General features: G+C 45.0%; 1 protein-coding gene across 2 annotated transcripts in view; it reads right to left on the bottom strand.

Moving 5' to 3' along the window:
* Positions 1–13,318, bottom strand: part of ARPC1A (actin related protein 2/3 complex subunit 1A) — a 40,365-nt gene that overhangs the window by 10,438 nt on the left and 16,609 nt on the right. For both annotated transcript variants that reach the window (NM_006409.4, NM_001190996.2), the window contains exons 4-6: positions 11,310–11,532; positions 6,866–6,973; positions 1,704–1,916 (exon numbers count right to left, since the gene is read on the bottom strand). In NM_006409.4, the coding sequence (NP_006400.2) occupies positions 1,704–1,916; positions 6,866–6,973; positions 11,310–11,532 (544 nt within the window). The remainder of the gene's footprint in view (positions 1–1,703; positions 1,917–6,865; positions 6,974–11,309; positions 11,533–13,318) is intronic.

Raw genomic sequence — 13,318 nt, 5'->3', positions numbered from 1 at the left:
TATTTAATTTAAGGCCGGTGAACGGCACTTACATTTTGTAAGGAATTCAGAGTAACAGACTAAACTAGCCTTTTTTTTTTTGAGATGGAGTCTTGCTCTGTTGCCCAGGCTGGAGTGCAATGGCATGATCTCGGTTCACTGCAACCTTCACCTCCTGGGTTCAAGTGATTCTCCTTCCTCAGCCTCCCGAGTAGCTGGGACTATAGGCACCCGCCACCATGCTGGGCTAATTTTTGTATTTTTGTAGAGACAGGGTTTCACCATGTTGGCCAGGCTGCTCTCGAACTCCTGACCTCAAGTGATCCACCCACCTTGGCCTCCCAAAGTGCTGGGATTATAGGTGTGAGCCACTGTGCCCAGCTTAAACTGGCCCTTTTTAAGTGACCCTTATCAGTAGCCAACCAGGAGGGTTCTTGAAAGGAATCATTATCAGTACTTCCATTAAGAAGTATTTCTGGAAGACCTAGGTCTTTAAAATTTTCCAACCGGAGAATTTGTGTCTGTGCCTGTCACGGTAAAAGCTGACTTGCAGTTTTTTTTTTGAGACATAGTTTTGCTCTTGTTGCCCAGGCTGGAGTGCAATGGCACAATCTCGGCTCACCGCAACCTCTGTTTCTTGGGTTCCAGAGATTCTCTAGCCTCAGCCTCCCGAGTAGCTGGGATTACAGGCATATGCCACTATGCCGGGCTGATTTTTTTTTTTTTTTTTTGAGACGGAGTTCTGCATTTGTTGCCCAGGCTGGAGTACAGTGGTGCAATCTTGGCTCACTGCAACCTCCGCCTCCCAGGTTCAAGCAATTCTCCTGACTCAGCCTCCTGAGTAGCTGGGATTACAGGCATGTGCCACCACGTCCAGCTAATTTTCTGTATTTTTAGTAGAGATGGGGTTTCTCCATGTTAGTCAGGCTGGTCTCAAACTCCCGACCTCAAGTGATCCGCCCGCCTCAGCCTCCCAAAGTGCTGGGATTACAGGTGTGAGCCACTGCGGCTAATTTTTGTATTTTTATTAGAGACAGGGTTTCACCATGTTGGCCAGGCTGGCCTTGAACTCCTGACCTCAGGTGATCCACCCATGGCCTACCAAAGTACTGGGATTACAGGTGTGAGCCACTGTGCCCAGCAGGGCTAATTTTTGTGTTTTTAGTAGAGACGGGGTTTCACCATGTTGGCCAGGCTGGTCTTGAACTCTTGACCTCAGGTGATCTGCCCACAGCCTCTCAAAGTGCTAGGATTATAGGCGTGAGCCACTGAGGCCTGCCTGCCTGCAGTTTTCATTGAGGTGTTTTTTTTTTTTTTTTTTTTTTGAGACGGAGTCTTACTCTGTCGCCCAGGCTGGAGTACAGTGGCATGATCTTGGCTCACTACAACCTCTGCCTCCCAGGTTCAAGCAATTCTCTGCCTCAGCCTTCCGAGTAGCTGGGAGTACAGGCGCCTACCACCACACCTGGATAATTTTTTTTATTTTTAGTAGAGACAGGGTTTCACCATCTTGGCCAGGCTGGTCTTGAACTGCTGACCTTGTGATCCACCCACCTCGGCCTCCCAAAGTGCTGGGATTACAGGCGTGAGCCACCACGCCTGGCCTGATTAAGGTTTTTATGTTTGTGCCCTGTGCTAACACCCCAGGAAGGGCAGTCCTGGTTCAGCTGGTGAGAGATCCCACCCCTTGTTCCCCACCTTCCAAATGAAAGGCAAATACTCACTGCACACTTTTTGAGGCATCAGCAACAGACACGGTGCTGTCGTGGCTGACCCAGGCCAGGCGGCTCCCACTGGCAGAGAAGCTTACCCCGTGGACCCAGCCACCAGTGCCACTGCCACCAAACTCTGACATCAGCTGCCCAAAAGGCATCTTGCTGCCCCAGGGCGTGCTGGCTGGCTTTTCATCCACTTCTTTAATGTAGGCAGAAAACACTCTGTTTAAAGGGCAGAGAGAAAAGGAAAAAGCAAATGAAAATATATGTATATAGAAACAGGCCATAGGCAGCTGCCACAAGGAATCTCAGAATGCAAAGAGGTTGACTCATTAAAAAAAAATAAAACATGAGCTGGGCACGGTGGCTCAAGCCTGTAATCCTAGCACTTTGGGAGGCCTAGGTGGGTGGATCACCTGAGGTCGGGAGTTCGAGACCAGCCTGACCAACATGGAGAAACCCCGTCTCTACTAAAAATACACAAAATTAGCCAAGCGTGGGGGCGCATGCCTGTAATCCCAACTACTCAGGAGGCTGAGTCAGGAGAATCGCGTAAACCCAGGAGGTAGAGGTTGCAGTGAGCCGAGATCACGCCACTGCACTCCAGCCTGGGCAACAAGAGAGAAACTCCTTCTCAATAAATAAATAAATAAATAAATAAATAAATAAATAAGGCTGGGTGCGGTGGCTCATGCCTGTAATCCCAGCACTTTGGGAGGCCAAGGCGGGAGGATCATGAGGTCAGGAGATCGAGACCATCCTGGCTAATACGGTGAAACCCCATCTCTACGAAAAATACAGAAAATTAGCCGGGTGTGGTGGCAGGCGCCTGTAGTCCCAGCTACTCCGGAGGCTGAGGCAAGAGAATGGCGTGAACCCAGGAGGCACAGCTTGCAGTGAGCTGAGATTGCGCCACTGCACTCCAGGCTGGGCAACAGAGCGAGACACCGTCTCTAAAATAACATAACATAACATAACATAACATAACATAACATAACATAACATAACATAACATAAACTAAACTAAACTAAACTAAAATAATAAATCATGATAGGTAAGTCCAGATATTCAAACCTCTCAAGTAACAGAATTATTGTTAGAGCTATCTACAGGCCAACCCAAGTTTGGCAAATCCATATTCTAGTATATATATATATATTTTTGGGGGACAGAGTCTTGCTCTTGTTGCCCAGGCTGGAGTGCAATGGCATGATCCTGGCTCACCACAACCTCCGCCTCCTGGGTTCAAGAGATTCTCCTGCCTCAGCCTCCCAAGTAGCTGGGATTACAGGCATGTGCCACCATGCCTGGCTAATTTTGTATTTTTAGTAGAGATGGGGTTTCACCATGTTGACCAGGCTGGTCTTGAACTCCTGACCTCAGGTGATCCACCTGCCTTGGCCTCCCAAAGTGCTGGGATTACAGGCATGAGCCACCACACCTGATCCCCCGCTCCAACTTTTTTTTTTTTTTTAAGAGACGGGGGTCTGGCTCTGTTGCCCGGGATGGAGTGTAGTGGTGTGATCAAAGCTCACTGCAGCCAACTTCTGGGCTCAAGTGATCCTCCTGCCTCAGCCTCTCGAGTAGCTGGGACTACAAGTTCGTATTATGCCCAGCTAATATTTTAAAATTTTTTGTAGAGATGGGGTCTTGCTGTGTTGCCCAGGCTGGTCTCGAACTCCTGGGATCAGGTAATACTCCTGCCTCAGCCTCCCAAAGTGCTGGGATTACAGATGTGTGCCACTGCGCCTAGCTAATCCATACTCTAGATACTATCAAAGCACCTACTGTGTGTCAGGCTGTGGGTGCCAGGTTCTGAAGTAGTGATCACAAAAGACCTGTCCTCATGGACTGCACATTCTGGGGAGATCTTGCTGTCCCATCCCTCCCTTGCCCACATGAGACCTTGCTAAATGGCCACAGCATTCTTTCCTGTCTACCTTACCATCATTCTCAACACAGTACTCCAGGAAGCCTGCGCAGTCAATGGTGGGAGAGCAGAAACTATTTGCCACCCTGCAACAAACTAATGGTGTTGACCCTTTTAAAGACATACCCCAAGAGAAAGCCAAGGGAGGCTGGTGACAAGGGGTGGGCAGGCTCCCTGGACCCTCAGGCCCACTGTCCAGTCTCTGTGGCAGGAATAGCTTAAGATGGAGGCAGGTCCTTTATAGGTGGTGTCGCCCGTTTCCACTAACTCACTCTTTTATCTAATTCCACACAGCTGTGTTTGAGGATGTTCTGGCCCAGAGTTAAGGGCAAAGGGGAACGGCTGGAAATCTACCCTTTAGGGCCCTTTCGCCCTCCAATGTGATTTCTACTTTGTACACCTTCTTCTCTCCAAAAAACTGCTGAACCTAAAGGCTCCCTAAAAGAACCGAGGTATCCCCCCTACCACCCCAAATGACAATGGCAGTACAGAGGCTCTGGAAGATGCCTGGCAGAGGACTGTGAGTTATGTGAGGTTATATGACGAGACAGTAGAAACACTGTGCTTTAAATCTGCATCATGACAGCGGCTGCTTTAGTCTTAGAAGGCCAAGAAAGAACCAGTGGCTCTCAGCCACCAACTCAGGAACACAAATGGGACAGACCCATACCCACAGGACTGGGCCAGGCGCAGTGGCTCATGCCTGTAACCCCAGCACTTTGGGAGGCCGAGGCAGGTGGATAGCTCGAGGCCAGGAGTTTGAGACCAGCCTGGCCAATATGGTGAAACCCTGTCTCTACTAAAATACAAAAAAAAAAATTAGCCAGGCATGGTGGTGTACGCCTGCAATCCCAGCTGCTTGGGAGGCTGAGGCATGAGAATCACTTGAACCTGGGAGGCAGAGGTTGCAGTGAGCCAGGATCACACCACTGCACTCCAGCTTTTGTGACAGAGAAACTAGGGGAAATTAATATTAACAAAATAACTGCAACCTATTTTCACAACCATCAAAGAATCCAGGTGGTGTGGGTTAGTGCCACCTAGTTCTATTTTCCAATGACTCTGGTTAAGAAATCACAAGTAACACAGGTCCAGAATATAAAGTGCCTTGACACTCCCATGACCTCCATCCTCTCCGCCAAACTCAAACACATCTCTCTCTCTTTTTTTTTTAAGCTTTGAGTATTCCTGGATATAAACCACTAGCCTGGTTTTCTGGGAATTCTCCACAGTTACTGAAGAAAGTGTATCCCAGCTGAGTGTAGTGGCTCATCCCTGTAAGCCCAGCACTTTGGGAGGCCAAGGCAGAAGGATTCTTTGAGCCCAGGAGTTTGAGACCAGCCTGGGCAACATAGTGAGACCCCATCTCTACAAAAAATAAACAAAATCAGCCAGGCATGGTGGCTCATGCCTGTGGTCCCAGCTACTCAGGAGACTGAGGTGGGAGGATTGCTTGAGTCCGGGAGGTCGAAGCTGCAGGGAGCTATGATCGCACCACCACACTCCAGCCTGGGTGACAGAGCAAGACCTTGTCTCAAAAAAAAAAAAAAAAAAAAAAAAAAAAAAAAGTGCACCTCATCTCCCAACCTACCATATAGTCAACACAAAGCAACATTTATTTGCTTTGCTTTCCTTTCAGCTAAAGGGAAAAAAGCATATTCTTGAGAAAGAACAACTTTAAAAAGCAATTACATGGAATTCCATGGTATGATCCTTAAAGTTCTTAGCAAAGTGGCTGCATTTCTTCTAGCTTCAAGCTAATGACAAAATAAAAAGCTTTAACTGAAAGAACAGCACAATAACAGCTTAGCAGCGCACTGTTTAGCTATGTTTTATTAATTGTTTCACTTTGGAATTTGCAGAGACTGCTGCCTGGAATATGAAATGAGAAAAATACTGTTGTCAAGAAAGACAGGGAGAAAGGGAGACACAGAAAGAGATGGTAAGAAAGAGACAGAGACAGAGACAGAGAGAGTACATGCTAATCCTCCCCTCTAAACCATAGATATTCTTACACTTAAGGAAATCTTCGCTGGCCCCACCCTTGCCTCTCCCTCCTACCCCACTTCCAAGTGGATTTCTTTTTACCTCAGTGACTTATGAACTTGTTCTTTTAATCACCATGCTTGAGCTCCTTTTCTGGATCACAAACTGCTTCCATTTTTTTGTTTTGTTTTTGTTTGTTTTTTGAGATGGAGTCTTACTCTGTCGCCCAGGCTGGAGTGCAGTGGTGTGATTTCAGCTCACTGCAACCTCCACCTCCCCGGTTCAAATGATTCTCATGCCCTAGCCTCCCAAGTAGCTGGGATTACAGGCATTTGTGACCACACCAGGCTAACTTTTATTTATTTATTTATTTTGAGACAGAGTCTCGCTCTGTCGCCCAGGCTGGAGTGCAGTGGTGTGATCTCGGCTCACTGCAAGCTCCGCCTCCCGAGTTCACACCATTCTCCTGCCTCAGCCTCCCGAGTAGCTGGGACTACAGGCACCCGCCACCACGCCCGGCTAATTTTTTGTATTTTTTTAGTAGAGACGGGGTTTCACTGTGTTAGCCAGGATGGTCTCGATCTCCTGACCTTGTGATCCGCCCACCTCAGCCTCCCAAAGTGCTGGGATTACGGGCGTGAGCTACTGCGCCCGGCCTCTTTTGTATTTTTAGTAGACACGGGGTTTCACCATGTTGGCCAAGTTGGTCTTGAACTTCCAACCTCAGGTGATCCGCCCACCTCAGCCTCCCAAAGTGCTGGGATTACAGGTGTGAGCCACAGCACCAGGCCTCATTTTTGAGTCCCTCACAGTGCCTAGCGCAGTACCTTGCAAAGAAAAGGAAACTTACAGGCCAGGCACACTGGCTCATGCCTGTAATCCCAGCACTTCAGGAGGCCAAGGAGGGAGGATCACTTGAGGCCAGGAGTTCAAGACCAACCTGGGCAATGTAGCAAGACCCCGTCTCTACAAAGAATAAAGACAATTTTAAAAAAATTAGCCAGGTGTGGTGGCATATACCTGTAGTCCCAACTACTCTGGAGGCTGAGGCTGGAGGATCGCTTGAGCCCAGGAATTGGAGGCTGCAGTGAGCTATGATGGTGCCACTGCACTCCAGCCTGGGTGAGAGTGAGACCCTGTCTCAAAACAACAACAACCACAACAAAACAAAAAACAAAGAAAGAGAACCTAAAATTATTTGTTGAAGGATGAAGAATGCACGGCTCAAGTTTATCAGTTCTCACTGGTTCCCACCTGCATTTGAAGTCACATGATCCTGCTGCCAGCAAAACGTTGTTGGGATGCCAATCCAAGCTGAGGACTGTGGAGCGAATCGGCTTTTTAATGTGCTTGCTCACCCACCTATGAGAGGGGAAAACTGTTTCAGTTTATCCACTCAACCAGCATCCCCAAATGACCTACAAATGTATGTCAGGTGAAAATACCTAAGTAGGCCACACTTTTCCTTAATTTAAAAAAAAATTATAAAACAATTCAGAATATTATTTTTTTCAGAATAAACTTTTTCAGATAGGTTTCTATAAAAAAAGATTCTATAGAAAAGTAACAGAGCATTCAACGTTCTTCTGTCGGTCACCAGGCCTTCTGCCAGAGACAAGGTTTTTTGATACCAGGTTATGATCTGAGACTGGCTAATTTTTGTATTTTTTGTAGAGATGAGATTTCTCCATGTTGCCCAGGCTGGTCTCAAACTCTGGGGCTCAAGTGATCTACCGGCCTCAGCCTCCCAAAGTGCTGGGATTACAGGCATGAGCCACTACGCCCAGCTGACAAGGTGCATTGCTAAAGGACAGAAAGGAAAAGAACCATGAACAGGCCTTCTCCACTCCTGGCCCTGATGTTCTCAGCACAACAGCTGGTTTTCAGCAGTCCTCATTAGTAAGCATAGATATTGATTAACTCAGTTATGTTTTCGTGAGATTTCGGATTACATAGGACGTTAACCTCTGAGATAAAAACTGAAGTTTGAAAATACTTCAATTTTTATTATGAATATTCAGTGATTTGCTGAATTTTTGGTGAATTTGGGGTTGTAAGACAGCTTAATATCCTTCCCAAGTCTCCACGAATCTGCAAATTCTTTTTAATTTCTTTCACTGAAAAATCACAACCAAGAAATTAGAAGAACCTCATGTTGGGGATTAGCCTCTAATTCGCTAGCACCATCCAAAAAAGATGATTTATGTCTAGGACCAGTCAGTATTTTGGCTTAACTAATTCATTTCTGCCCCCAAACTGCTGTTTAAAAACCAATCACGTCTGGTTGCTCAACAGTTGGGAGACTAAATATTGAGCCAATGCCTTTCCTTCAATGCTAAATTACCTTTCTATAGAATCACTTTCTTTCTTTTTTTTTTTTTTTTGAGATGGAGTTTCGCTCTTGTTGTCCAGGCTGGAGTGCAATGGCGTGATCTCAGCTCACCGCAACCTCCACCTCCCGGGGTCAAGCAAGAATCACTTTCTTTTATTTATTTATTTTTTATTTTTTTGAGACAGAGTCTTACTCTGTCATCCAGGCTGGAGTGCAGTGGCGCAATGTCAGCTCACTGCAACCTCTGCCTCCTGTGTTCAAGCAATTCTTGTGCCTCAGCCTCCCGATAGCTGGGATTATAGGCTCACGCCACCACGCCCGGCTAATTTTTGTAATTTTAGAGGAGATTAGCTTTCACCATGTTGGCCAGGCTGGTCTCAAACTCCTGGTCTCAGGTGATCTGCCTGCCTTAGCCTCCCAAAGTGCTAGGATTACAGGCATGAGCCACCACGCCTGGCTACAGAATCACTTTCTTAGTATCCTGTCTGAAGAAGTTCATTCTGAAAAAGACAGCCAGGTGCAGAGGCTTGCAACTATACTCCCAGCACTTTGGAAGACCAAAGCAGAAGGATTGCTTGAGTACAGGAATTTGAGATCAGCCTGGGCAAGAAAAGTGAGAACCTGTCTCCACAAGTAATCAAAAAATTAGCCAGGTGTGGTGGTGCAAACCTGTAGTCCCAACTACTTGGGAGGCTGAAGTGGCAAGACTGCTGGATCCCAGGAGTTGGAGACTGCAGTGAGCCGTGTTTGTACCACTGTACTCCAGACTGGGTGACAGAGAGAAACCCTGTCTCAAAAAATAAATAAATAAATAAAATAAAAAACCAAAATCCCCCACAAAGTCTCTAAAAAAGGAGAAAAAGACAGTATTTCGAATTGTTTCATAATGTATACATATTTTTTGAGACAGAGTCTTGCTCTGTTGCCCAGGCTGGAGTGCAGTGGCATGGTCTCGGCTCATTGCAACCTCTACCTCCCTGGTTCAAGCGATTCTCCTGCCTCAGACTCCCAAGTAGCTGGGATTATAGGCATGCACCACCACACCTGGCTAATATTTTGTATTTTTAGTAGAGATGGGGTTTCTCCATGTTGGCCAGGATGGTTTCGAACTCTTGACTTCGTGATCCGCCTGCCTTGGCCTCGCAAAGTGCTGGGATTGCAGGCGTGAGCTACCGTGCCTGGCCTTTATAATGTAATTTTTTTAATTAAGGAAAAGATGGCAAGCAAAATAATTAGTTCATATGGCTGAATTATAAACTTCTGAGAAGTTGTTTTAAAGTACTCCTATGAAATATGAAATAATTGTTCTACAGCTGAGAAACTGCCCTAAACATACAGCTTGTTCAAAGACAATACCTTGTACCATAATAAAGTCCAATTTACCTATACTTGACACTAATTCTCAACGAATAAAAATGTAAACAATTACTGAGGTTGAAGCTTAACTTGGAAGAAAAGTTTCCTGTAGAAATTTGTAAGATTGCAAGGAGTACCAGCTGACATAAAGTTTAGCCTTGAGAGAATATTAATGAAGTTAGTTTCCTATCTCATTACAATGAAACTTCCAAATAGTTTCTAGCAGGTAACATTTTGTTAGCCTTGATTTCACATTTGAAAGAAAAATGTATGTTTCAAATTCGTAACTCAATTTTTTTTTTTTTTTTTGAGACGGAGTTTCACTCTTGATGCCCAGGCTGGAGTGCAATGGCGTGATCTCGGCTCACCGCAACCTCTGCCTACTGGGTTCAAGAGATTCTCCTGCCTCAGCCTCCCAGGTAGCTGGGATTACAGGCATGCACCACCACACCCCGTTAATTTTTTTGTATTTTTAGTAGAGACAGGGTTTATCCGTGTTGGTCAGGCTGGTCTCGAACTCCTGACCTCAGGTGATCCACCTGCCTCGGCCTCCCAAAGTGCTGGGGTTACAGGCATGAGCCACTGTACCTGGCCCATAACTCAATTTTACCGCAAATTCCCAATCTCTTTTTGAAGAATAAAATTTCTGAAGTTTTACTAAATTACAAAGGTAACATGATAATCCCCTTCTTTCAATTTCAGCAGAATACAAATAACAAAACAGCTACAAAGAGTCATGTATACTCTGCTATTTTTAGTAGAAACACAAACACTGCCAGTTTAGTAGTAAATGACAACTTTACGTTGAAGGATATTTACCAGTCATGCTGAACACATGCCACACAGAAAAATAATTTTTTTTTTTTTTGAGATAGAATCTCACTTTGCCGCCCAGGCTGGAGTGCAGTGGCACGATCTTGGCTCACTGCAACCTCTGCCCTCCGAGTTCAAGTAATTCTCCTGCTTCCTCCCAAGTAGGTGGGATTACAGGTACCTGCCACTGTGCCTGGCTAATTTTTGTATTTTTAGTAGAGATGGGGTTTCACCATCTTGGCCAGGCTGGAGAATAATTGTTTCCTTATCAAAACAAACAGGAAGGAGTAGTTAAAATAAGTTTTGGCCATAAAATAAACCTGTGTTTTGACTGGGTCAGCAAGAAGTAATTTAAAAAATGTGCAATAGCTGATTAGACTTCTAAGATTCTGGTGAGTTTTGACTTCAACAGTTTAAACAAGTAAAATATTACACCAAGACACAGATTTGGTTGGCAAATAAGCTTTAAAGAAGGAACATTGACCAGGCGTGGTGGCTCACGCCTGTAATCCCAGCACTTTGGGAGGCCGAGGCGGTGGATCATGAGGTCAGGAGTTCATGACCAGCCTGGCCAAGATGGTGAAACCTTGTCTCTACTAAAACTACAAAAATTAGCCGGGCACGATGGCAGGTGACTGTAATCCCAGCTACTCAGGAGGCTGAGGCAGGAGAATTGCTTGAACCAGGGGGCGGACGTTGCAGTGAGCCATGATCGTGTCACTGCGCTCCATCCAGCCTGGGCAACAGAGTAAGACTCTGTCTCAAAAAAAAAAAAAAAAAAAAAAAAAAAAAGAACATTGTTATCTGTAGGAATCCTACATAGATATCCTGTGAAAAAAAAAAAAAAAGAAAAAATATTCCTCAGGGAACGGAGACTCTTTCAATGTTATTATTTGTAAATGAGAGTAAGAAAACAGCAATTTGCGCAGTATAGAGTGAGAACAGTAATAGCATCTTGCAGAAGAAACAAGTTAGGCGATCAGAACATGGACACAATAGCTCTATGTTAATATAAAAAACGTGCGATTTAACTTAACATGCACATGAGAAGGGAAAATGCTCAGACAGAATCGAGAATTTCAGAGAAAAAACCACACAACTCCGGATGAGAAAAACTGGAGTTATGGTGAGCCCTCACACAGCAGTGCAAATGTAAATTCTATAGAGAGGGATAGAAAAAATTCAGATGTCACTCACCAGTCATTTTCAGACTCAAAGTAACAAACAGAAATGAGTCGTGCTCCACTTCCCACAGCAAATTTGTTCTCTAGGGGGGACCACTTCACAAAAGTAGCTGCGCGATTAATTCTCAGGATCACCAGGGTTGGCTTCCAAACACCATCTTTCTGACTCCAGACATAGGCATTGCGGTCTGCCCCACAAGTGACAATGCGGTCGCTCTTGGGAGCCCAGTCAATACCTGCAAGTGAGACATGGGTCATCTGCTTTGCCCAGTCAATGACAAACAACTGCGGCACAGGCAGGTGGGTGGCACTGGCATGCCAGGATGAGACGTGGTCTTGGGACCTTCCTCCCAGGCACATCCTTCCCACTATCTATGTCCTGATCACCGCCTCAAGGAAAGGCAAGGATGCTTCTCTGCAAAGCGTCTGGGACTCGGGATTGTCTATGAGGTCATGTAGAAGAGCTGTTTTATAATTACAGACTTTACAAAACTAAACGGGGCCATTCTTTCCACCCATTCACACATTTCTAAGACTTCTAAAGATCTGAAGATTCATTACTTCTTTCTTTCCTCTTTATTAGATTTTTGTGTGTGTGAAAATAACTGTATTCATTAACACACCTCATTCTATGATATTAACCAACAGTCTGCTACATGGCATTCAACTAAAACAGCATACAGGGTAAATAAAAATAATCTTTAGTGTAAAGAGGGGGAACTATATATTGTGATTCATCATATATTCTTCTGAAAGTCACTGCCAGTTGAACCATACTGAAAACCTTTTCTACATGATGCAGGTCCTGTGAAAGAATCCTTGTTTCTTTGCATCTAAACCAGGAAGATACCTAAATATGTATCTGAATGTAAGGTTTATTTTTCTTATTTGATGAGACTTTACTTATCTGGTACCTCTGTGAAGAATCCCAAAGTCAAGGTCAGTTTTTCATATACCAAGACTCAAGGTCAGTTTCTTATATACCAAGAGCAAAATTCACCATGACTCATTTAACACTTATTGATGAGGTATTTTCTTTTCTTTTCTTTCTTTTTTTTTTTTGAGATGGAGTTTCACTCTTGCAGCCCAGGGTGGAGTACAATGGCACGATCTCAGCTCACTGCAACCTCCGCCTCCCGGGTTCAAGCGATTCTCCTGCCTCAGCCTCCCGAGTAGCTGGGATTACAGGCAGATGCCACCATGCCCGGCTAATTTTTGTATTTTTAGTAGAGACGGGGTTTCACCATGTTGACCAGGCTGGTCTCGAACTCCTGACTTCAGGCGATCTGCCTGTCTCAGCCTCCAAAGTGCTGGGATTATAGGCATGAGCCACAGTGCCTGGCCTTGATGAGGTATTTTCTATAAATATAATTTCACATTAAAAAGTACAGAAATATTACTAATAAATATTTATTACAGATCTCTCTCTAAAAATTAATAATTAGCATTCTTGACATTTATATGGAAAAAAGACAAATATACCTCTGAGCCTCAATTACCCATAAGTCATAGTGACTGAAGAGTTAGGCCGGGCGCGGTGGCTCTTTGGGAGGCCGAGGCAGGCGGATCACGAGGTTAGGAGATCGAGACTATCCTGGCTAACACGGTGAAACCCTGTCCCTATTAAAAATGGAAAAAATTAGCCGGGCGTGGTGACAGGCGCGTGTAGTCCCAGCTACTTAGGAGGCTGAGGCAGGAGAATGGTGTGAACCCGGGAGGCGGAGCTTACAGTGAGCCGAGATCGCACCACTGCACTCCAGCCTGGGTGACACAGCGAGACTGTGTCTCAAAAAAAAAAAAAAAAAAAAAAAAGTAGTATGAAGAGTTTAGTTTATTCATTCATTTACCCACATGAAATATCAGCTCAATTTTTTGTACCACTGAAGGGAAGAAAATATGAGAATGTGTTCTAAGTGATGTTTATTTTATTTATTCATTACAAGATAATTTTGCTTGCTGTCCTCTTTATTAGATTTTTTTTTTTGAGACAGGGTCTCACTTTATCACCTAGACTGGAGTGCA

The sequence above is a fragment of the Homo sapiens genome, chromosome 7 (genome assembly GCF_000001405.40).
Source record: "Homo sapiens chromosome 7, GRCh38.p14 Primary Assembly".
In the NCBI taxonomy this organism is placed as follows: domain Eukaryota; kingdom Metazoa; phylum Chordata; class Mammalia; order Primates; family Hominidae; genus Homo; species Homo sapiens.
This window is presented reverse-complemented; position numbering and strand designations above follow the sequence as displayed.